This window comes from Homo sapiens, chromosome 1 (genome assembly GCF_000001405.40).
Source record: "Homo sapiens chromosome 1, GRCh38.p14 Primary Assembly".
In the NCBI taxonomy this organism is placed as follows: domain Eukaryota; kingdom Metazoa; phylum Chordata; class Mammalia; order Primates; family Hominidae; genus Homo; species Homo sapiens.
The window spans coordinates 42,208,742-42,234,557 of NC_000001.11; the positions used below are offsets into that span (position 1 = coordinate 42,208,742).

Sequence of the window (25,816 nt, forward strand, 5' to 3'; positions counted from 1 at the left end):
TTACGTCCCAATAAACCCATCATAAACTGAAACTACCATAAGTCAAAAATGCACTTAATGTACTTAACCTACTGAACATAACAGCTCAGCCTAACCTACCTTAAACACGTTCAGAACACTTACACATTAAGCCACACATGAGCAAAAGCATCTATTTTATAATAAAGTGTTAAATATCTCATGTAATTTATTGAATACTATATTGAAGGTGAAAAACAGAATGGTTGTATAGGTACTTGAAGTACTGTTGCTACTGAATATGTGTTGCTTTTGTACCATCAGAAAGCCAAAAAATTGTAAGCCAAAACATTCTCTAAGTCAGGTACTATCTACAAAAGGCGTCCAAATAGGAAGCAATGAAGTGAAATTGTCTCTGCTGACATGCTCTTATATAGACCAAATCCTAAAGACTTCAACAAAAACAGAACAGTATTCAGTAAAGTTGTAAACAAATTCAGTAACGTTGCGGGATACAAGATTAACCTATAAAAATCAGTAGCATTTCTATACACTAACAACAAACTATCTAAAAAAGCTATTAAGAAAACAATTCGTTTTTTCTTTCTCCAAGATGGTAGATTAAAGGGATTAACATGCCCCTCCCACTTGGAAAAATAAAATCATGTGTAGAGATTCATGCTGTGAACTTTTTTTCCTAGAAGCAACACAGGAACTTAACAGAAAAACTGAAAGAAAATGCAGACCTTTTGAAATAAGTGGCGGGCAGCAGCCTACACCATGAAACAGGTAGAAAACTGTGTCTCTAGAGCTTGAGTGGGAGAGAGACTTCCTCCATGACACATACTCCCACTAGGGAGTCAGGCCAGTGGGAAATGCCTTAACCCTACCCAGGTATAAAATTCCTTAACCCAATCCAGGCCACGGGGGAATGCCTTAATGCTACCCAGTGCTGGAGCTGACTTAATGAGCAGTGGGGAGAATATGAGGAGAAGCAGCATCACGACATGCTTTACATCCATTCCCAGACTCCAGCAGGCCCGGAGGGAAGCCATTCCTAATCCTATCTCAGGGAAGACTGCCAGCTAATTCAGGCAGAGGTCACAGGTTGAGAGACACTCCCAAATGAGACTTGTGATATAATCTTGAGTGCAGATGGAACCCCTTGGCCAGAACCAAGGGGCAAGTGAGAAGTGTGCTACAGCCACAGGTGCAGGAGCTGGGTGTCCCTGCTTTGCAGGCAGACCTGGAGGGATATGGCCTGAAAACTGTGGTTTCTGTCTTGGCTGGGAAGGCTTATAGCCTGGGGCAGTTTTGAGTTCTAAGTGCAGGCTGCCTACAACCCAACTAGCTGCTGCTAGCAAAACACTGGGTGTGAGACCTGTGTTGCCAAGTCCGTGGGAGCTGAGTGGGGCTTAATGCCATTTGCTACACCCGATGCCCCATGCAGATTATTTTATGCATCAGAGGCAGCTGTGCTCCACCCTGTAACACTATCCCAACAGCCACGGAACTGCCCTCTGACCCCCACTGGGGCCACTGCTTGCACCCACATGTGAAAAGCCAGAGTGCAGACTTGCTTGACCCGGCCCCCATCTGGCTTTGTCCCTTCACTCGCCCTGGTAGCATAACACAACAGACTGGGACTTTGGAAAGCTCCATGGCCCTGCCTATGGCCTGAGACACCAGAGTACCTTGGGTAACATAAGGCAAGCACAAATCCCACCACTACCACCATAGTTGGTGTTCTTTTGCAAGCATCACCTCTTGAAGCCAACCAGCACAGCCCATTACAACATCTGCAGGGACAATAACACCACTCTGAGGAAGGAGAAATTTTCTGCATGACCTCAGCTATCGTCATTGCCTGTATCACCCTGGCTAACCAGAAGGTCTTGAGTCTGTCCACGTGCCCAGTACATTACTACTACAGTTGGCATTTGAGAAAGCCAACACAAGCTGGCATTTGAGAAAGCCAACACAAATCTCAAGGAGATTTCCTTGAGATAACCAAGGAAATCTCATAGTCTACATAACTCCCTTCCCACCCCCATCAGAGCTGGTGCTGGTACCCGCTGCTGGGAGACTAGAGGACAGGTCACATCACTGAATCCCTTGCATACATTCCCCAGCACCAGCCTGGAGTGTGGCAACCCCACTGAGCAGCTACACCCAGAAGAGCAGCAAGCTCCACAATAGTCTGGCCCTCAGGGACTGCTACTCCCAAGGGAGGGGGTGGGGCGGGGAGTGTACATCATTAAGGGAGCACCTCATGAGACAAAAGAAGCCAGACTGCAGGCCTCAAGTCCTTTAACTTTCCACTTGTGGGGGAGTTTCTTTTATCAGAGAAACATGTGCAGTGCTAGGCTCAGTGGGGAAAGTTTGTTTGGCTCTACCCCAAAGTCAGGCGGCCCTGGTGCTCGTGAAGGGTCTTGAAGAAGATTGGGATTTCTTCTCCTCTTGCCCATCATTGTAGACACAGCTGGGGCCTCTCCCATGGAGCTTGGCATGGGTGCATCTGTAGATACTCTTCGTGGAACACTTTGGGGTAACTGCATCCTTAAAGGAGGTGTGCCCTCCAGATTCAGGCTTCCATGAGAGGTAGAGTCATAATCCCTCTTTACATGGAACATCACATTCCTGCAGATGAAATGAGATGCCTGTCTCATCTGAATAGCTGGAACATCTGGTCAGGAGTGTGACTGGGAGGTGACTGTTTTCCTGCTGGCCTGAAAGACAGCTTTGGTGGTTTCCTTCCTTCCCCTTGAGAAGACCTCAGTGCATTTCACCGAGAGCTTCCCTAGCAACCTCTGCCAAGGCTGGGAACTTTGCCCACCACTGGGGTATTGCCTTTACCACCTCCTTTGGCCATACCTGTGGATACCTCCTATCAGCCTGAAGCCTAAACTATTCAACTCAGTGAATAAAGTACTGGAGGAGAAAATTTTTAAATGCACGCCACTGGGGAACAAGATAAGCTTCAAGAGACCTCTGCCATTCCAGCTCCACTGGAGATAGTGAGCCTGCTCACACATCCAGCACAATGCTACTACAACCAGCATCTGAGAAAGCCACTACACAAAGATTCTCTGTAACCAAGAAACTCATATAGAGTTTTCACCAGGGAAAGCACCCAGAACCAAAGCTGGGTGACAATAAATTATAAACATTAAAGTTACATCCTGGAGTACTGGGGGTGAGGAGGGCCAGGGGAAGCTAAGAAATGAAAAGACACAGTTGAATCAAAAATAAATTAAAAAACAATTAGAAGTGTCTGGGCACAGTGGCTCACGCCTGTAATCCCAGCACTTTGGGAGGCAAAGGTGGGTGGATCATTTGAGGTCAGGAGTTCGAGACCAGCCTGGCCAACATGGTGAAACCCCATCTCTACTAAAAATACAAAATTTGGCTGGGCATGGTGGCACGTGCCTGCAGTCCCAGCTACTCAGGAGGCTGAGCCAGGAGAATGGCTTGAACCCAACAGGTGGAGGTTGAGCCAAGATGGTGCCACTGCACTCCAGCCTGGGTGACATAGCAAGACTCCATTTCAATAATAACATAATTCAAAAAGTTAATTGTGAGTTTACTCAAAGAAATACAAGGTGAAAATGCAACAGAAAAAATTTAAAAAAACAATTCAGGATATGAAGGAAAAATTTTCTAAAGAGACAAGTATTTTAAAGCAAAGCCAATCAGAACTTTGGAAATAAAAGACCTATTTAGAGAACTACAAAATGTGGTAGAAAGTTTTAACAACAGACTAGACCAGGTAGAAAAAAATAATTTCAGAGGTCGAAGACAAGGCTTTCAGGTTAACCTCATCAGATAAAAATAAAGAAAAAAAATGAAAAGAAATGAACAGTCTCCAAAATATATGGGATTATGTAAAAGAGCCAAACCTAAGAATCATAGGTGTTCCTAAGGGAGAAGAAAAAGTTAAAATTTGGAAAACCTATTTGAGGAAATAATTAAGGAAAATTTCCCTGGTCTTGCTAGAAATACAAGAAGCTCAAAGAACTTCTGGGAGATTCACTGCAAAAAGGACATCACCAAAGGCATGGAGTCATCAGATTATCTAAAGTCAAAGTGAAAGAAAGAAGTCTAAGAGCAGTTAGACAAAAGCATCAGGTAACCTATATAAGAAAACCTATCAGACTGACAGCAGACTTCTCAGCAGAAACCTTACAAGCCAGAGGGCTTGCGGTCCTACCTTTACTCCTTAACATAATAACTGTCAGCCAAGAATTTTGTATCTAGCAAAAAAAAAAAAAACAAAAAAAAAACTAAGTTTCATAAGTGAAGGAGAAATAAAGTCTCTCAGAAAAGGAAATGCTAAGGAAGCTTGTCAATAATAGGCCTGCCTACAAGAAATGCTAAAAGGAGTTCTTGAAACAAAAGGTTGATGCGCAAAAGAATAGAAACTCCTGAAAGTATAAATTTCACAGGGCTTGTGAAACAATAACACAAGGAAGAAAACAAAGTCACTATGTAACAATCAACAGCATGACTGGAACAGTCTCACATTTCAATATTAATGTTGAATGTACATGGTCTAAATGTTCCACTTGAAAGATATACACTGGCTGAATGGATTTAAAAAAAATCACAAACCAAGTATCTGCTGTCTTCAGAAGACATACCTAACATGTAAGGATTCTTAAAGACTCAAGATAAAGGAGTGAAAAAAGATATTTCTGGCAAATGGAAGCCAAAAGCAAGCAGGAGTAGCTATTCATATATCATATAAAAAAGACTGTAAAACAACAACAGTTAAAAAAAAAAAAAAGACACGATTATATAATGATAAAAGGACCAATTCAACAAGAAGATATAACAAACCTAAATATACATGCACCTAACTCCAATGCTCCCAGATTCATAAAATCACTAGTACTACAGCTAAGAAAAGAGACATGGTACACATACACAATGGAATATTATTCAGTCTTTAAAGAACAGGAAATTCTGTCTAGGGGGTATTATGCTAAGTGAAATAAGCCAGCCACAGATAGAAAATACTGTATAATTTCACTTACATGTGGATTCTAAAAAAAACCCCAAACTCATAAAAGCAGAGAATAGAATGGTGGTTACCAGAAGTGGGAACAGGCAAAGAGGAGACACTGGTCAATGGGTACAAAGTTCTGGTGTTCTATTGCACATCCCAATGACTACAGTTAATAATATATTGTATATTTCAAAATAGCTGAGAGGATTTTAAATGTTCTTACCACAAATGATATCTGAAGTGATAAACTAATTAGCCTAATTTGAACATTCTACAATGTATACATGTGCTGAAACATCACACTGTACCCCATAAATATATACAATTATTGTCAATTAAAAATAAAATAAAACAAAGTAAAAACAAAGGAATACTCAATGGTGACTAATAAGAAAGGTGACAGCTTTGGTATGAGGCACTGTACTCCCACATAGCTTCAACTATTACAAAACAGTAAATTAAACAAACAAAAAAAAAGCTTTTAATTATTTTTTCATGAATACTTCAGTTTCAATAGAGAGAGTAAAGGCACTCTCTTCACATACTCTGACATTCACTCAATAGCATGGTACATATTTTTATTTATAGGTGCACTGATTCTATATTCTTAATAGGCAAAAAGTAGTCTGATCGGTAAAGCCAATAGATCCAGGCATCCCAAAATGTATTTGGATAATTTATTACAGCAGCCATCAACCGAAATTCTGGACAAAGAAAGTATCGATGAATCTAATCTGGTGGCACCAGTTAGCTCAAGAAAGGTCCTTTCTGGAGTTCCCTAATCATACCCATTTGAGTTCCACTTCCTGTTTGGCAGTGTGATACCCCTATAGACCAACCTTCTGCTGATAACTATAAAGTATTATGGTGAGAAAAAAAATAGCTTTCTGAGCATTCCAAAGGGTAAATACAATAGGCAGGTTGGGAAGGTAAGTCAAAACTTGGGAAGAATGTGGGTGAATTTCCTGTTTTGCTGCAGCTTTGCCCCAAGATTAGGCAATAGATGTGGAGTGCAGACAGCTAAAGCTGTTCTTCCGTCAGGAGGAACTAGGGCAAAGACCCAAGGTAAACACAGCCAGCCACCAGAGAGAAAAGGCAATCCTGTAAGAGAGAAAGTTGAAAGACATAATACATAATCCTGTGTATAACACAGCACAAATGTGCCAGGCTGAGGCCTGAACCATGCATATACAGATCTGCATCAAAGTAGAGGCTTAAGGATCAAATTGAAATTGGAACCACTACTCACAAAAGGTGAAAGAGAAAGCTTACAGTGTAACACAGTTAAGCCAGCTAAAGTACAGATATCAATATTCTATAGATTATTATAGAACCCAGAGTCTATAAAAACATAATATTCACAATGTCTAGGACACAATCCAAAATTACCTGGCACACAAGTAACAGAAAATACAGCCCATTCTTGGCAGAAAGGGAAATCTACAGATGCCCACTCCAAAAAAGACTGAGTTGCTGGAATTATGAGACAAGGATTTTAAAACAGCTATTATAATTATTTATGCTCAATGAAATAAAGTTAAAAAAAACTTGAATGGAAATATAATAAAGGAAATCTCAAGAGAAAAATAAAAAAATCAAAATTTTAGAATGGAAAAATATCCAAAAGAAAAATATATCAATGGATGGCCTTAATATTGAAATGGAAATGAATAAGTAAAGAATCAGTAAACTTAAAGGCGGATCAGTAACCAATCTGAAGAATCAAAAGCTTATGAAAAAAAGAACAGAGCCTCAGAAAGCTGTGGGACAATCTCAAAAGGTCTAATGTATATCTGTGATTTCTGGAAGAATAAAGAGAGAAAAGGGCAGAAAAAAATAGAAGAAATAATGACTAAAATCTTTGAAAATTTAGTAAAAGACAAATTTAACAAATTCAATTAGCTCAGTAAACCCCAATAAAAATAAATGGAAGGAAAAACCACACTTAGATACATCATAATCAAATTCTTGAAAATAAAGATAGAAAAAAGCTAGAGAAAAACTACATATCACATGCAGGTAAACATCGACTAGGAAATGACTGTGGATTTCTCATCAGAAATGATGGAGGTCATAAGACAGTGAACATCTTTAAAGTGCTAAAATAAAACAGAATTATCAATCCAGACTGTATATCTAATAAAAAATACTCTTCAAAAATGAAGGCAGGCTGGGCGTGGTGGCTCACATACCTAGCACTTTGGGAGGTTGAGATGGGAGGATCACTTGAGGCCAAGAGTTTGAGACCAGCCTGGTCAACATAGTGAGACACCCATCTCTAAGGGGGAAAAAATTTATATAACATATCATATACATATATATGTGAAACAGAAAATTTTTTAAAAATGAAGGCAAAATAAATACATTTTCAGGGAAAGAAAAACTAAGTGAATTTGTTGCTAGGAGACCTGCACTATAAGAAAGTTCTTTAGGCAGGGGGAAATTATAGCAAAGAAAAAACCTGGACCTTCTGAAACAAATGAAAGCACCAGAAATGGTAGACACTGGCTAAATATAAAAGACTACTGTTGCCGGGCGCGGTGGCTCACGCCTGTAATCCCAGCACTTTGGGAGGCCGAGGCGGGCGGATCACGAGGTCAGGAGATCGAGACCATCCTGGCTAACACGGTGAAACCCCGTCTCTACTAAAAATACAAAAAATTAGCCGGGCGTGGTAGCGGGCGCCTGTAGTCCCAGCTACTCGGGAGGCTGAGGCAGGAGAATGGCGTGAACCCGGGAGGCGGAGCTTGCAGTGAGCCGAGATCGCGCCACTGCACTCCAGCCTGGGCGACAGAGCGAGACTCCGTCTCAAAAAAAAAAAAAAGACTACTGTTTTCCTCTTAAGTTTAAAAAGTCACATAAATTATTTAAGGCAAAAGTTATAACACTGTCTTATGAACATCTACAGATGTAACACATATTACAACTATGGGGTATAGCGAGGGAAAGAACAAAGAGGATCTACATGGTTGGAAGATTTTTACATTTACATGAAGTGATACACTAATAACTGAGTAGACTGCAAAAGGTTAAGGATGTACACTGAAATTCCTAGATATAAATAAATAAATAGGAATAGCTAAAAAGCCAACAGATAAATAAAAATGAGATACTAAAATATATCCAAAATAATCTAAAAGAAGGCAGGAAAAGGGAAAAGAGATGAAACTAAAAACAGAGGTCAAACAGAAAACAAAACATAAAGCCAAATCAGTCATATTAATGATTTCATTAAATGTTAAGTAAATGCTCCATGAAAAGGCAAAGACTTTCAGAGAGGCTAAAAAAGCAAGACTGATAAATGCTGTCTGCAAGAGCCACACCTTCAAATATATAGATCTGGGGTGGAGGGGAGGAGAGGAACAGGAAAACTGTCTCTATTTGCAGATGACACAATTACTTATGACAAATCGCAAGAGGCATCTTCAAATAACTATTAGAACAAGATAATAAAATACAAAGTTAATATACAAAAATTAATTATATTTTTATATACTAGCTACAAGCAATTGGAAAATGGATTTAAAAATACTCTGCAATGGGCTGGGTGCAGTGGCTCACTCCTGTAATCCCAGCACTTTGGGAGGCCGAGGGTGGCGGATCACAAGATCAAGAGATCAAGACCATCCTGGCCAACATGGCGAAACCCCATCTCTACTAAAAACACAAAACTTCGCTGGGCGTGGTGGCATGCGCCTGTAGTCCCAGCTACTCGGGAGGCTGAGGCAGAAGAATGGCTTGCACCCGGGAGGCAGAGGTTGCAGTGAGCCGAGATCGTGCCACTGCATTCCAGCCTGGCGACAGGGCAAGACTCCGCCTCAAAAAAAAAAAATCCTTACAATACCATTGAAAAACAAAATACTCCGGATTAAATCTAACTGGAAGCATCCATGTCTCTATGCTGAGAACCAAAAAACACTCCTCAGAGAAATTAAATTAGACCTAATGAATGGAGAAATACAACATTTTTATGGATTAGAATATTCAATATTGCTAGGATGTCAATTTTCTCCAGATCACTGCTTACCTGGGGACAAGAGTTGAGTGAATTTCTGGGGATGATGAAAATGTTAATGTGCCACTGTTGATAATTGCACAGTTGTATAGATCCCAAAACTCCTCAACTTATAAACTTTAAATACGCAGTTAACTGTACAACTATCCCTCAATAGTGTTGTAAAAAAACAAAAACCTACCCATTCATCACAATGATCTCTTATGAAACTTTTCATGATCTCCATCTCTAACCAGACAGGATTTCCACCATTTTTAACCCCCAGGAAATTCTACTTAGACATATATATTGGAGACAACATGCAGTGCTCCCACATAATGTACACTCAGTAGTTTTCCCAATTGAAATAAATATTTATTCAGTTCTACAGCTAAGAGTAGGCATGTAGATTGCAATTCTTCCTGTGCTCACTTACACCCTTTCCTTTAACTAAATCCTCACTCTTTCTCAGACTCCACCTCAGAGAGGGAAGGCACACAGTGAGGGAATCACTTAATCAACAAAACCACTCTGGTATTATAATTGAGAAACTGAATTACAAATAACAGCATGACAACAATTTCAGATACATGTCCAGATGGAGAGTATCCCACCTAGAAAAATGTTCTGTTTTCTATTTATCCATCTATCCTCCAGTTCTTTTACTGATTATACTTGTAATCACCTTCAGGTGATTGTAAACAACTTCAGGAAAAAGTAATGTGTATTTCTTCCATCTCTGTTCCAAAAAAAGCTGGATAATTGTAGATAATGTGTTGATTTTTCCGCAAGGGCCAATATGTTTAGGATAGTGAGTTGACAGATCTGGCCTCTTCTCCCTTATGTAACTTTTATAACAATGCATTATAAGATTTTAGGCAAAACTATCCACAGCAATTTCCTCCTAACTGATCTTTTGCCCTTGTTCCCTTACCACTTATATTCTACACAACAGCTAGAGTGACCGTGTTAAAATTTAAGTCACATCATGTCACTACTCTATTCATATCCCTCCAATGGCTTTCCACCTCCCTCAGAATAAAGATTGTCTTTAAAATGGCTTACAAAGCCCTGCACAATTTGCCTCCTGCTCCCACCCCTTACTTCTCAAATGTGAAGTCCTATCACTACTCCTCCCTCCTCAAACACTGTCCAGCCACAGTAGCCTCCTTGTTGTTTCTCACCATGCCAAATATATCTCTACCTCAGAGCCCTTGCACTTGCAGGACAGCAGATTCCCAGGCCTGTACAGCTGACAATCCACTTACATTTATATAAAGAAACTACAGCCAGAAAAATTAATACATATTCTAAGTTATAACATACAACTTTAAAACTAGGTCTCCAAACTTCCAGGTTAGTTCAGGAGTCCTCTCTTTTCCACAGTTTCACTTTCTGCAGTTTCAGTTTCCTGTGATCAACTATGGTCTAAAAATTTTAAAGAAAAAAATTCCCAAAATAACCAATTCATGTTTTAAATTGCATGTTATTCTGAGCAGGGTGATAAAATCTTGTGTCACCCCACTCTGTCCCACCTGGGACATGAATCATCCCTTGTCCATCATATCCACTTTGTATACACTACCAGCAGCCCTCTTGGTTATCAGATTGACTGTCGTGGTATCGCTTTATTATTATTGTTGTTAACCTCTTACTGTGCCTAATTTATAAATTAAACTTTATCATAGGTATGCCTGTTTAGGAAAAAAACATGGTATATATAGGGTTCAGTACTATCTGGTTTCAGGCAGCCACTGGGGGTCTTGGAACGTATACCCCTCAGGGAGGTCTACTGTACCATTTCCCATAAATCTTGTACCAAATAAAAATGATACCCTCATGACTTTATAACATAACTTGGCCTTGCGCTTACTATGTAAAAACATGGAAAAATAGTAACCTAAACAGAAACTTTAGGTCTTTAAATGATGCTAAAACACAAAGCAATCTAAAGTTTTGGGTGCCCAGCATGGGGGCTTATGCCTATAATCCTAGCACTTTGAGAGGCCAAGGCAGGAGGTCTCAGCCAGGTGTTTGACACAAAGAAAGACCTGTCTCTACAAAAATAAGAAAAACTAGCTGGGCATGTACCTATAGTCCCAGCTAATCAGGAAGCTAAACAGTTGAGGATAGCTTGAGCCCAGGAGGTCGAGACTGCAGTGAGCCATGGTCACAACACTGCATTGCAGCCTGGGCAACAGGCTGAGACTTTGTCTCCAACAAATAAAGTTTTGGAGTTTTCTTTTTAGAATTTCCATTTTCTACCACTGGCAACACCCCTATCCTCACTCCTAGCAGCTTTAAATGTTCAGACAGTTTACATTTCTAACAAGTGCATTATTTCCTAATTATAACTCTTTCAAAGTACCTTACCTGGGCTAAGCATACAACAGAAACACAGTAAATATCTGAAATCACTACCCATATGCAATAGTCACAGAGTTCCAACTTCTTCCATAAAAGTGTTGAATGCGTCACTTATATTTTTTAACTCTGAATATGGAACTTAGGCACACTAAGCAGTGACCAGGAAGAGACTATTTCAATTACACGAAACAATACACTCAAAAACATACACCGTGAGTCTACTAATTTAAGAGGAACAGTTGTGCACATACACACTTGAAAAGAGACAAAGTATGTTTTTAAAGGATTTCTTGGGCTAGGAATTGAAAATCCAGGAGGCTGCAAAGGGAAAAACAAAAACAAAGGGTCTGAAAACACACTCCACCAATAGAAAAAAAGTAAAGACATGGCAAAAACCATCCAAACCCTCCCATATCCCACCTACACTCTGAAGGTTGCTTACTACAAATAACAGCAACTTTCTCCTCGAGGGCTTTTTTTCTGATTGGGAAGCATGCTTTGGCTTCATGCAGGGCAAGCCAAAGGTGCTGAAAAGCTAAAGCCCCTAGAAGCATCACTCAATTAATGAGAAGGAAGAACCGATGGATAAACATCCCACTCGTTGGCCTGCAGTTCTAAACTGCCTCCCGGAGTCCCCAATGAGATCGAGCTCTAGGTGCTAACAGTTTTAACTGACTGGGTGATTTACCCTTATTGGCTTCATTCCCTTGTCCTATCTCCTTGCCCTACTTTGCAAGGATCATCCCTCAAACTACCTGTGCTCAATTTCTTGTCTGCTTCTGAGGAAACCCAAACCATGGCAGACATCTTTTCCTTTTCTCAAAAGGAAAGTCTCCTAGGATAGATACAAAATCTTTCTTTAATGCAATAGTTCTCAAATTTTTAGTCTCAGGACAATAATCATTAATTCATTTAAAACCAACAAGAATAAACATACATGTTAACATAATATTATTTTGCATAAAACATTCTCCAAAACAAAAATATTTAGAAGAATGGCATTAATTTACGTATTTTTAATTGCTTTAATGCTTGCCATTATAGAAGACACATCTGCCTCAGCATTCAATCTATGGCAAAATCACATGTCATGTAGTCTCTAGAAAAGGTGTGAGTGAGCGATAATGAATGAAAAAAGCAAAGAACATCTGAGTTTTATTATGAACACAGTTCTGACCTCATGTGCTCCCTGAAACAGCCTCACACACAGAGAACTACTGAGACAGCATCATAAGTTTCTATAAGCAAAGAATAACATTAGAAAATAGCCAAGACAAAAGATTTAAGTTAAAAAGGGGGTTGGGGGGATCAAAGAATGAATAGACAAGAATATGATTTCTTGATTATCAAGATGATAAAAGTAACTTGGAGCACTCACTGTTTTGAGGCATTTCTTTCTTTTATTGAGAAAGGGTCTTGCTCTGTTGCTCAGGCTGGAGTATAGTGGCACAATCATGGCTCACTGCAACCTCAAACTCCTGGGCTCACGCAATCCTCTGGCCTCAGCCTCCCCAGTAGCTGGGACTAGAGGCAGGTGCCACCACACCCACTATTTTTTTTTTCTTTTGGTAGAGATGGAGAGGTGGGTCTTATCTTGCTGCCCAGGACTCTCAAAGTACTGCGATTACAGGCATGATCCACTGCTAAAAAACTACCTAAGATATATGTTCCCTCTTCTACTCCTTGACACTAGTTTCCTTGGAATAGTTTAATTGCTTGCAAGCCCAAATTAAAAAGCAAAATGCAAAAAGGTCAGGAAACTGGCCAAACACAGGTGGCTCACACCTTAATCCCAGTACTTTGGGGGGCCAAGGCAAGAGAACTGCTTGAGCCCAGGAGTTTGAGACCAGCCTGGGAAATGTAGCAAGACCCTGTCTCTATTAAAAAAAAAAAAAAAAGAAGAAGGGGGAGGGGGAGGGGGAGGGGGAGGGGGAGGAGGAGGAGAAGGAGAAGGGGGAGGGGGAGGAGAAGGAGAAGGAGAAGAAGAAGAAGAAGAAGAAGAAGAAGAAGAAGAAGAAGAAGAAGAAGAAGAAGAAGAAGAAATAAAAAGTTGAAAAATAAGGAATTACTGTCTTTCTTGGATTCCATGCTCAGTCAACCATACTGACCTGTCTTGCGCTTTGAGGGCATTCCTTTTTACAACCAGTTTTTCACCTTCCAAATCCCACTAATCTGCCCTATTTCAGTTCATCCATCAGGCCTCCAATTAACGTCACTTCTTCAAGAAAACCTTCCCTGATTATTAGATTGTTATGCCTCTCTGCTACATGGCCCCACAGTTCTCAAAAACCCTTATCTTTCTGTGACCACATAATTTATCATCCACAAGCTATTTGGAGAATGAATGCAGAACTAGTAGTTATGCTGAGACAATAAGCAACACCAGGAATGTACATTCATCCTACCTTATCAGTTTATCTTCCCTGCTTGAGTGAGGAGAGGGTATGACTGTCTTGTTTACCAACTGTTCCCTCAACACTTAGTGCTTAGAATACAAAAGGTGTGGTCTGATAAGCATGAATTTTTATAATGCAAATTAACTTCAAAAAGGAAAATCTTATCCAGACAAAATTAACTACTGTGTTCCCACTCAAATCCTAATACTTTTCTACCCAATACCTTTAATAAAGACCTCTTATCTTGTGTTTACTCCTACCTTTCTCACTCTAAATTCCCTCCCCTCAATCAGAACATAAACTTCATGAGGACAGGAAGTAGGTTTTGTGTTTTGTTCATTGCTGTTTCCTCAGGATCTAGAACAATACCTTTTAATGATAGACACTTAACCCTCATTTATTAGACATATACCCTGAATGGTATTCTCTCTACTTTGCTCTGCCTATCACCACCTGAAAGCTAAGCCACATAACCTATGAAGCCTTCTCAGACAGTACTAGTAAGAAATAATCTCTCCTTCCTCTGCACACAATAGTTTATCTTTCTTAAAATACCTTCTATACTTTACCCTTGTCCTAAAATTATGTGTCTTACGTCTTATTCTTCTTGGTATGCACCACAGTACCCTAGTACAATGCCTGGCACACAGTATCTACAGAATAAAGATCTGTCAAACTGATAAAATGACACTACATATAATTACAGGTATATACAGCATTCAGAAAGCATGCTAGTTTTCCAGAGAACCTCATTTATGTATATATCCCTAGCTCAGGCCATTACTATTGCAACACCATCTGTATCTACTCAGCATCTTCCTCTTGCAATGGGTTATGTGAAGACTATGTACCTTAACTGTTTTGATTCACTTCTCAACACTATGGGCTGTCAAATCAAAGTAAAAGTCCTGATCTCATAACTTTAGTTTATCTAACCAAATCTGTCCACCCCTTATCTAAATATCCACACTCCAGCCTAAGTTCTTCACAATAATTTAAACGGTCTTCAATTATGCCCACCTGTACTTCTTACCTACTAGTCAATCATGCATGCTGTGTCTCCAAGTGGAACATCCTTTAGCATTTTCTACGCAAAAACAGCTCCACTTTCGCACCAAAATTACTAGTCTCAAAGTCTCATTCCTCTTCCTTAGAGGCCTTCCCAGACAGCATTATGTATTCTGAATCACTTCAGTTGGTCTACCAAATTCATTACTTAATATTTGCTCTGTCATTTATAATCACATTTATGTTACTTAATTATATATGTTTGAATTAATGGAGGGAATTCTGCTTTAAATCAAGGATGATGAGCTCACAACAGAATATGCATCTGTAAAAAGAATTTTGATTCAGTGTTGTAGTCTTCAGCATAACAAATACCAGTGGAAGAATAATGTAGTTGTAGACAGCACAAACTGTGAAGGCAAGACTATCTGAGTTCAAATTCTGGCTTTGGTATTTTTTAGTACCTTGGATAACTCACTTAACATCCATGTTCATCAGCTTCATCAGAGTTATTTTAAAAATTACATGAGTTAATACACATAAAATCCTTTAAAAAGCATTTGACACATAAATTCAGCATAATCTTCTATTGTTTTGACTTTTAGCCTCTTACTTATAGCTGAGAATACTGAAGTGCAAAGAATTTAACAACTTGCCAAAAGTCACAGGAACTAGTAAGTTGTGAAGTCAGAAAAGAAATATGAGATTCCTACTAGAGTCTGTCCATTTTATTCAGTATCTTTTCAATAAACTGAAATTTTATTCAATTTGTTTAAGGTCTTCAGGACCATTATATGATTAAAAAATGATAAGATGAAATAAATTTTTAAAAGGAAAAGGAGATTTATAAACTAACTCATGGATTAAGAAAAGAAGAAATATAATAATAACAGAACAGAGAGCACACACAGGCTTATGCTCATGTAAATGGAGGGGACAGGTAAGTATTCCAGAGAACTGGGTTAAGCATATTAGGATGGAGCCAGCCTGGCCAACATGATGAAACCCCATCTCTACTAAAAATACAAAAATTAGTTGGGCGTGGTGGTGAACGCCTGTAATCCTAGCTACTCGGAGGGGCTAAGGCAGAAGAATCACTTGAACCCAGGAGGCAGAGGTTGCAGTGAGCCAAGATTGCACCACTGCACTCCAGCCTGGGTGTCTTTTGAGACTCTGTCTCAAAAGAAAAAATAAATAAATAAAAATAAGAAAGAAAAAATAATATTAGGATGGAGGTAACTGTCAAGCTTTATCTTCCGTTTAAGACATAAAGATGCTCTTGCTTGCATTTTTTAAAATCACTTCTCTTTAGCAGTTTAGAAGTCTTTTTTCAGCTGGGCCCAGTGGCTCACATCTATAATCCCAGCACTTTGGGAGGCTGAAGTGGGTGGACTGCTTGAGCCCAGGAGTTTGAGACCAGCCTCGGCAACATGGCAAGACCCCATCTCTACAAAAAATTTTAAAATTAGCTGGGCGTGGTGGTAGTCCCAGCTACTCAGGAGGCTGAGGCAGGAGGATCAACCTGGGCCCGGGAGGTAGAGGCTGCAGTAAGCCAGCAGCACCACTGCACTCTAGCCTGGGTGACAGAGTGAAATCCAGACTCCCCTCAAAAAAAAAAAAGGAAAGAAAGCCTTCTCTGTTCCATCAAAAGCTCATCACTTCAAAATTAAAAATGTGTGAAATAATTTTTATTTTTTTCACACAGAATTTCAATGTTTACATGTGGACAAAGGAATCACAAATTTCAGAAATTTAATACGGAACTTAGAGGGGTATCAATTTATTTACCATCTACATTTAACTTTTATCCTTTAAATGTCTGAAGGTCATGTTCAGGACCATCACTATTTGCCCTAGGCATTTTCTTAGATAAAACCCAATGGTTACTTAAAATATAAACTCTGTCCTAACAAAAATACTATATATTATATAACCTCTCACTTCCCACTCTAAAAAAAACTCTAAAGGAAAAATACAGGTAATTCAGTTTATCAGGGCAGGAAATTATGTTCCATAAGAACACTATATTTTAGTATATTTGTTAAATAATATCTGTCCCCCTAATTATATGCCCTTTGCTTACAGCTAATCTCTTTGTATGCTCCTACAGGGGCAACCAATATCCAGCTTAGGCCAAAATGAATATCAGTATTAGTAATCGAAAGGCCCTGGTATGTTTATGAATACTTTGTGAAAATATACCACAAAAGTAAATTTCTGAATATTTTACATTTTAAACTTAAAGTGATGATCAAAAAGCAGTAGAAAATGAATACAGAAAATATATGTCCAAAATGTACATTCAATAACACATGTTTTTGTAACCTGAATCCTGTATTTCTTTAGGCCTCCACTATAAAACTGCCAATACAGTCTCAGAAAAAAAAGGAAGACTCTCAAAAATAGGGAGGGATTGCTTTAATAAAACAAGGTAACAAGAATAAAAGGCAAGCTTAATATCCAAAAGACACGGACAGTTGTTCGCCCAATTCCAACTTCCAAAAATAACTGAAATTCCAGGAACTTCAGAAGAAAAAAGCAAATAGAGAAGAACGCAATTCTTCAGCTCTTCAATCTTTTCCAAATTGTTTAACAATGCTATGTGTTTTTTAAAATGTGAATTTTTCTCCCCTTCCTTCAAATTCTGGCAACAGATGCTAAATGTTTTATACTCCACACATTCATATAATGTCCATGCATTAAGCCTACTTTAAAAGGCAAAGGCTAGGTATAAGCTGAGAGGAGTGCTTAAAAAAAAAAAAAAGGCAAAGGCAAGAGAGCAGAAACTGATGTTCGTTCCTTCTCAAATGATAACATACTGAGCTTATCAACATCTCTTGTAAAATTGTCTAGCTCTGGCCGGGCACGGCGGGTCACGCCTGTAGTACCAGCACTTTGAGAGGCCAAGGTGGGTGGATCACCTGAGGTCAGGAGTTCGAAACAAGCCTGGCCAACATGGCAAAACCCTGTCTCTACTAAAAATATAAAAATTAGCCGGGCACAGTGGGTGCCTGTAATCCCAGCTACTTGGGAGGCTGAGTCAGGAGAATGGCTTGAACACAGGAGGTGGGGTTGCAGTGAGCTGAGATCATGCCATTGCACTCTAGCCTGGGTGACAGAGCGAGACTCCATCTCAAAAAAAAAAAAATTTTGTCTAGCTCTGTTACCAGAAGACCATGTCACCAATACTAAACTTTAACTTCTTAAACTCTGGTTTGTGTAAAGTCAAAAGTTGTTCTGGCCTAAGAATTCATTTTATATATCTTGATAACTGGCTTACTGAATTCCCTCTGCTGAATCCAATAAATCTTCCTTACTAAATCTCATTGCTGCTGTACCTCATGAACTCATGTGATCCCAACCTAATCCCAGTTTGAGATCTTTATCTTTGAGGCTCAAAAGTTTTAACCCTTTACTGGGAATGGGCACAGAACAAATTTATTTGACAAGCATTTACTCCATTTCTTCCATCTTATCCTATTCTCTTTGCCCTGATTCATGCTGCAAACATTTACTAGTATCTATTATAAGCTGTGAAAAATGGTAACACTGGAGATACAAATGAAAGGTATTTTCTCTGCCCTTAAGGGGCACATATTCCAGTAGAGGAGACAAATATAAAAACAAATAATTTCTACAAAGTGTAAGAAATTCCATAAAAGAGTTTTATAAAAATTCTACAAGAACAAAAATGGAAGAGAGTAAGCGAAGCTTCACAAAGCAGTTAACATTAGAAATGGGTCTTGAAGAACAGTAAGGTAGGATGGATATGTGTTTGTATGTTTTAGTTGAGATGCTGGAAATGCAGAAAGGATAAGGAAAGCTGACGGCAGTCAAAGTGCTGACTAAAAATATGTTAAAATAGACAACTTAGGATATTAACTATAGTTCCTTTTTACTTTCACTCTTGCAAATTAATTTTAACCATTAATTCACAAGTAAGAATTATCTTACAAGCAATACACACGCACCCAACTTAGAAATGTTGTGTACAAAGTGACTATTAAATGGACAGAACCAGGAAAAGGTATTTTGAGGACAATGGGGAAAATTCAATGCAACCAAACTGATCCTCTATAATAGAAGGGAATAGTTGTGTTACATAAAACTATTCCTAAATGTTGTAGAGAAAAGAATACCAAATTAAAACTCAAGAGAGCTGGATTCAAGTCTCAAACGACACCTGCGCCCTAATTATGACAAAACCTTTTACTTAATTCCTAAACTGTCCCTCAGAGTTAAGATCAAATAAAATGAGTCTGAAAAGTGTTCTGAAAAATGTAAAATGCTACACAAATAAAATCTTACCATCATTATAGTTACATGTGCTAGACTGGAAAAGAACTTTCAAAATCTGTATTTCAGACATATTCAATGCATTACACTAAATTTATGATAAAGAGCCTTTACCCGTTCTACAGATCGTGCCCTCTTCTTTGGCCGAGTAGGCAGCACATCTTCCTTCGGATTGGTGTCTATTGCCCAGTAGGACCCCTAGAGGTAAAGAAATTATATTAACAGTATATTACAGCAAACCTATGATATTAAAATGGATTTTTATAATCCTTTGCATCAAAAGCAAACATTCTGCAAATACAATGGAAAAATAGCACAAGAAACACTTGTTTTGAACTGAGAAAAAGATTATATAAGAAAATATATCCACTTATAATTACATTATTAAAAGAAAACTTTCATAAACTGAAGAATCCAAATCCAAGAACTTCTGCCACACCAAAATTTAGAAAGAAAATGATCAACAAAACACATTTTTTATAGTAATTCTCAATTGAACAGATGATAATTATATGACAATAAAAGAATTTAATGTATAAAGATACTGTAGTTTCTATAGCCCAGGACCTCACAAATCTACATGGTTAGTGAAACATTTTTAAAGACAAACTGCTTGAACACATTTTATATAGTAAGTGTTCCTGAGAAGCAATGATACGTACATAAACTTTTTACTGCTTACTCTGTCGTGACTTAACTATTCTCTCTTACTTTTTGAGACAAGTTATCACAGCATTCATTTGAAAATATGTATGGAGCACCTACTGTGTTCCAGGTACTCAGAAACTGTGACTCTCCAAAAAAAAAAAAAAAACTTTGGAAAAGCATAGATCCATAGATAATATAAGTTTGCAAATATTATACAAACAAGAAGAGCAAAACACAGAAAGATAAAGTGGCTTTCCCATTCAAAGTTGTGAGAACCAGGAACAAAAACAAACAGAAACAAAGTCTGGATTTTTAGCTCTTTTTCCCTCAATTATCCTGCCTCTATACACACACACATGGGGGAGGAAAGCATGAAAGAGGGGAGTTCAAGAAAGGGAAAGAGGGAAGGGAGGAAGATATGCATTTCAGAAACAGAAACACAATGTATATCCTAGTTTTACAATTAATCCCAGTGATCATATCCAAATTTAGTCTTCACCTCTACTATCTCATTAATCTTCCTAGGCCGTTTTTTAAGGCAACGCTTAACAATGAGGGGAAATACAACCCTCACCTATCAATCCTCACACTTTATGCCCAACACGAATCATCTCCTTATACTTTCTTGAACATACCATGTTGTTTATCTGTTCCTGTCCTACACGCTGACCTCACTACTTGTAATACCTACCATACCAATGACAAACTCATATTCCACCTTCAAATTTTACCTCGGATTATCCAAAGGAATCCTTTTCTGACCGTCCTGCCATACCCAAGAATTCATCACTCTCTCCCTCTGCAAGATCTCTACACTTTTTACACATTTAGACCATTGTTTGCAAATTAACATTCAATTCTGTTTACAGGTCTGTATCCCCTTCTAGGCTATAAATTCCTTATGGATAGGGACTATTTTACTCGTTTCTATATCCACAGTGCCAGTCACAATGTCAGACACAAAGCAAGTACTCAATTAACATCTGTCGAAATGAGAAGGGAAAAAAAGCTGTTTAACAAACTGCACCAAGAATATCAGTGTACAGGGTACTACTATGTACATGTCAGTGTACACTGTTGGGGTACAAGGTAGGTGTGTACGTCTCAGATTCTGGTCTATGTAGGTACCTGAGCTTAATGTTCATTTCATCGCCCAGCTACTGCTGGGGTATTTCTATGTTATCTTTTCAAAACGGTCACTACATTTCAGCTAAGGAGTCTACCAGATGTGGTAAGAACCTGCTAGGTAGGAACTACAAACTTGCCAAGAACCCTATAAAATGCAGATGCTACAAAAAGCACTAAAAATGGGAAAACAATGATTTTGGGAATAGGTTTGGCTAGCAAGTTTCAGAATAAATGCAAGGGGGAAAAATTTTATACTGAGTTCTTATAAAAATTAAAAATAAAGTAGCAGAGAAAATACCAAAACTCATTGGACAATAGTTTAAAAACCACTTTTCATAGAAATGACAAATTCCAGCATTTAGTTTTGTTTTGGATGGGTGTGTATATGTGTATTAATCTGGGGAAACCATTCAATGTCCAAACTTGACCCTGATTTGTTAGTAAACCTTTCAATAAAATTACAAAAACAAATAGATAACTCTTCTTCCACACAAAATACGAATGGTTGTGGCTTGTCACAAATAAATCAACAAAAGGGAAAAAATTTGCCCATAGCCTACCTATCCACTAGGTATTCATAAAATCCTGAACGCCTAAATGCAAATTCTAATAATTAAAAAGATTCACAAAACTAATTGTGAAATCTTCCACCAAACAGTTCAGGCTAACACAGTATTTGAGTTTGATCTCTGAAATCACAGGTTTGAATAAAGAGACCTTAAAATTCCTCTTCACATATCAAAACCATAGTAAGATAACACTTTATACCCACTAGCATGTCTATGATCAAAAAAAACAGAAAATAGCAGGTACAGGCTAAGTATCCCTTATCCAAAATGCTTGAAATCAGAAGTCTTTTGGATATCAGATTTTTTCAGATTTTGGAATACCTGCATATACCTAATGAGAGATCCTGTGGATGGGACCCAAGTCTAAAGCTCAAAATTAATTTATGTTTCATATAAATGTTTATACACATAGTTTGAAGGTAATTTTTTGTAATAATTTTAATAATTTTCTGCATGAAAACAAAACGTTGACTGTAATCCATCATATGAGGTCAGGCATGGAATTTTCCACTAGTGGCATCATGTTGGCGCTCAACAAGTTTTGGATTTTATAGCATTTGTATTTCAAATTTTCAGATTAAGGATGCTCAACCTGTATTGGCAAGCACATAGAGAAACTGAAACTCTTATGCACTACTGATAGAAATGTGTGACGGTGTAACCACTGTAGAAAATATGGCAATTCCTAAAAAAATTAAACAGAATTACCAAATCATCCAGCAATTCCACTTTTGGATATATATCCAAAAGATACGAAAGCAGGAACTCAAGTATTTTAACACCCATGTTCATAGTAATATTACTCACAACAGCCAAAAGGTAAAGCAGTCCAAGTGTGCATTGAAGGATAAATGGATAAACAAATATGCCACATACATACAATGGAGTATTACTCAACCTTAAAAAGGAGGGATATTCTGGCCAGGCGCCGTGGCTCACGCCTGTAATCCCAACACTTTGGGAGGCCAAGGCAGGCGGATCACAAGGTCAGGAGATCCAGACCATCCTGGCTAACACAGTGAAACCCCCGTCTCTACTTAAAAAAAAAAAAAAATACAAAAAATTAGCAGGGCATGATGGCAGGTGCCTGTAGTCCCAGCTACTCGGGAGGCTGAGGCAGGAGAATGGCGTGAACCCAGAAGGCAGAGCTCGCAGTGAGCCGAGATCACGCCACTGCACTCTAGCCTGGGTGACAGAGCGAGACTCCATCTCCAAAAAAGAAACCAAACAAACAAAAAAAACGAGGGATACTCTGACACATAAGCCAGTCACAGAAGGACAAATATTGTATGATTCCACTTATAAGTACTAAAATTCTTAGAGACAAAGAGTAAAATGATGGTTGGTAGGGGATAAGGGGAAGGGAATGTAGGTACTTATTGTTTAATGAGTGAAGAATTTAAGTGTGGGAAGATGAAAACGTTCTCGAGATGGATGGTAATGATAACTGCACAAGAATGTGAATGAACTTAATATTACTGAACTGTACACCTAAAATGATTCAAATGGTAAGAATTATGTTATGTATATTTTACCACCAAAAAGTACCTCTCAGCCGTTTCTATTTTTATTTTTTTTAAATACAGTGGCACGACCATGGCGTAATGCAGCCTTGACCTCCAAAGCTGAAGTGATCCCGAGCCCCACAAGTAGCTGAGACCACAGGTCCACACCCCACCCCCACGCCTGTTTTTGTTTTGTTTTATACTTTAAGTTTTAGGGGACATGTGCACAACGTGCATGTTACATATGTATACATGTGCCATGTTGGTGTGCTGCACCCATTAACTCGTCATTTAACATTAGGTATATCTCCTAATGCTATCCTTCCCCCCTACCCCCACCCCACAACAGGCCCCGGTGTGTGATGTTCTCCTTCCTGTGTCCATGTGTTCTCACTGTTCAATTCCCACCTATGAGTGAGAACATGCGGTGTTTGGTTTTTTGTCCTTGCGATAGTTTGCTGAGAATGATGGTTTCCAGCCTCATCCATGTCCCTAAAAAGGACATGAACTCATCATTTTTATGGCTGCATAGTATTCCATGGTGTATATGTGCCACATTTTCTTAATCCAGTCTATCATTGTTGGACATTTGGGTTGGTTCCAAGTCCTTGCTATTGTGAATAGTGCTGCAATAAACATACGTGTGCATGTGTCTTTATAGCAGCATGATTTACAATCCTTTCGGTATATACCCAGTAATGGGATGGCTGGGTCAAATGGTATTTCTAGTTCTAGATCCCTGAGGAATCGCCACACTGACTTCCACAATGGTTGAACTAGTTTACAGTCCCACCAATAGTGTAAAAGTGTTCCTATTTCTCCACATCCTCTCCAGCACCTGTTGTTTCCTGACTTTTTAATGATTGCCATTCTAACTGGTGTGAGATGGTATCTCATTGTGGTTTTGATTTGCATTTCTCTGATGGCCAGTGATGATGAGCATTTTTTCATGTGTCTTTTGGCTGCATAAATGTCTTCTTTTGAGAAGTGTCTGTTCATATCCTTCGCCCACTTTTTGATGGGGCTGTTTTTTTCTTGTAAATTTGTTTGAGTTCTTTGTAGATTCTGGACATTAGCCCTTTGTCAGATGAGTAGATTGCAAAAATTTTCTCCCATTCTGTAGGCTGCCTGTTCACTCTGATGGTAGTTTCTTTGGCTGTGTGGAAGCTCTTTAGTTTAATTAGATCCCATTTGTCAATTTTGGCTTTTGTTGTCATTGCTTTTGGTGTTTTAGACATGAAGCCTTTGCCCATGCCAATGTCCTGAATGGTAATGCCTAGGTTTTCTTCTAGGGTTTTTATGGTTTTAGGTCTAACATATAAGTCTTTAATCCATCTGGAATTAATTTTTGTATAAGGTGTAAGGAAGGGATCCAGTTTCAGCTTTCTACATATGGCTAGCCAGTTTTCCCAGCACCATTTATTAAATAGGGAATCCTTTCCCCATTGCTTATTTTTCTCAGGTTTGTCAAAATCAGATGGTTGTAGATATGCGGCATTATTTCTGAGGGCTCTGTTCTGTCCCATTGATCTATATCTCTGTTTTGGTACCAGTACCATGCTGTTTTGGTTACTGTAGCCTTGTAGTATAGTTTGAAGTCAGGTAGCACGATGCCTCCAGCTTTGTTCTTCTGGCTTAGGATTGATTTGGCAACACGGGCTCTTTTTTGGTTCCATATGAACTTTAAAGTAGTTTTTTCCAATTCTGTGAGGAAAGTCATTGGTAGCTCGATGGGGATGGCATTGAATCTATAAATTACCTTGGGCAGTATGGCCATTTTCACGATATTGATTCTTCCTACCCATGAGCATGGAATGTTCTTCCATTTGTTTGTATCCTCTTTTATTTCATTGAGCAGTGGTTTGTAGTTCTCCTTGAAGAGGTCCTTCACATCCCTTGTAAGTTGGATTCCTAGGTATTTTATTCTCTTTGAAGCAATTGTGAATGGGAGTTCACTCATGATTTGGCTCTATGTTTGTCTGTTATTGGTGTATAAGAATGCTTGTGATTTTTGTACATTGATTTTGTATCCTGAGACTTTGCTGAAGTTGCTTATCAGCTTAAGGAGATTTTGGGCTGAGATGATGGGATTTTCTAGATATATAATCATGTCATCTGCAAACAGGGACAATTTGACTTCCTCTTTTCCTAATTGAATACCCTTTATTTCCTTCTCCTGCCTCATTGCCCTGGCCAGAACTTCCAACACTATGTTGAATAGGAGTGGTGAGAGAGGGCATCCCTGTCTTGTGCCAGTTTTCAAAGGGAATGCTTCCAGTTTTTGCCCATTCAGTATGATACTGGCTGTGGGTTTGTCATAGACAGCTCTTATTATTTTGAGATATGTACCATCAATACCTAATTTATTGAGAGTTTTTAGCATGAATGGTTGTTGAATTTTGTCACAGGCCTTTTCTGCATCTGATATAGATTTGGTCTTTTCACATAGTCCCATATTTCTTGGAGACTTTGTTCGTTTCTTTTTATTCTTTTTTCTCTAAACTTCTCTTCTCACTTCATTTCATTCATTTGATCTTCCATCACTGATACCCTTTCTTCCAGTTAATCAAATTGGCTACTGAGTCTTGCGCATTTGTCACATAGTTCTCATGCCTTGGTTTTCAGCTCCATCAGGTCTTTTAAGGACTTCTCTGCATTGGTTATTCTAGTTAGCCATTTGTTTAATTTTTTTTTCAAGGTTTTTAACTTCTTTGCCATGGGTTCGAGCTTCCTCCTTTAGCTCGGAGTAGTTTGATCGTCTGAAGCCTTCTTCTCTCAGCTCGTCAAAGTCATTCTCCGTCCAGCTTTGTTCCGTTGCTGGTGAGGAGCTGTGTTCCTCTGGAGGAGGAGAGGCGCTCTGATTTTTAGAGTTTCCAGTTTTTCTCCTCTGTCTTTTCCCCATCTTTGTGGTTTTGTCTACCTTTGGTCTTTGATGATGG

General features: G+C 38.7%; 1 protein-coding gene across 16 annotated transcripts in view, besides 1 other annotated feature; it reads right to left on the reverse strand.

Annotated features, from left to right (window-relative positions):
- Positions 1-25,816, reverse strand: part of FOXJ3 (forkhead box J3) — a 159,333-nt gene that overhangs the window by 32,194 nt on the left and 101,323 nt on the right. For all 16 annotated transcript variants that reach the window (XM_047449488.1, NM_001198850.2, XM_024454163.2 and 13 more), the window contains one exon: positions 19,142-19,225. In XM_047449488.1, coding sequence (XP_047305444.1) covers positions 19,142-19,225 — 84 coding nt within the window. The remainder of the gene's footprint in view (positions 1-19,141; positions 19,226-25,816) is intronic.
- Positions 5,817-6,111: an enhancer, noted in NCBI's record as "tiled region #10195; HepG2 Activating DNase matched - State 5:Enh". NCBI's record gives its function as "activates a minimal TATA promoter and a strong SV40 promoter by Sharpr-MPRA in HepG2 cells {active_cell/tissue: HepG2}" and the evidence as "EXISTENCE:reporter gene assay evidence [ECO:0000049][PMID:27701403]".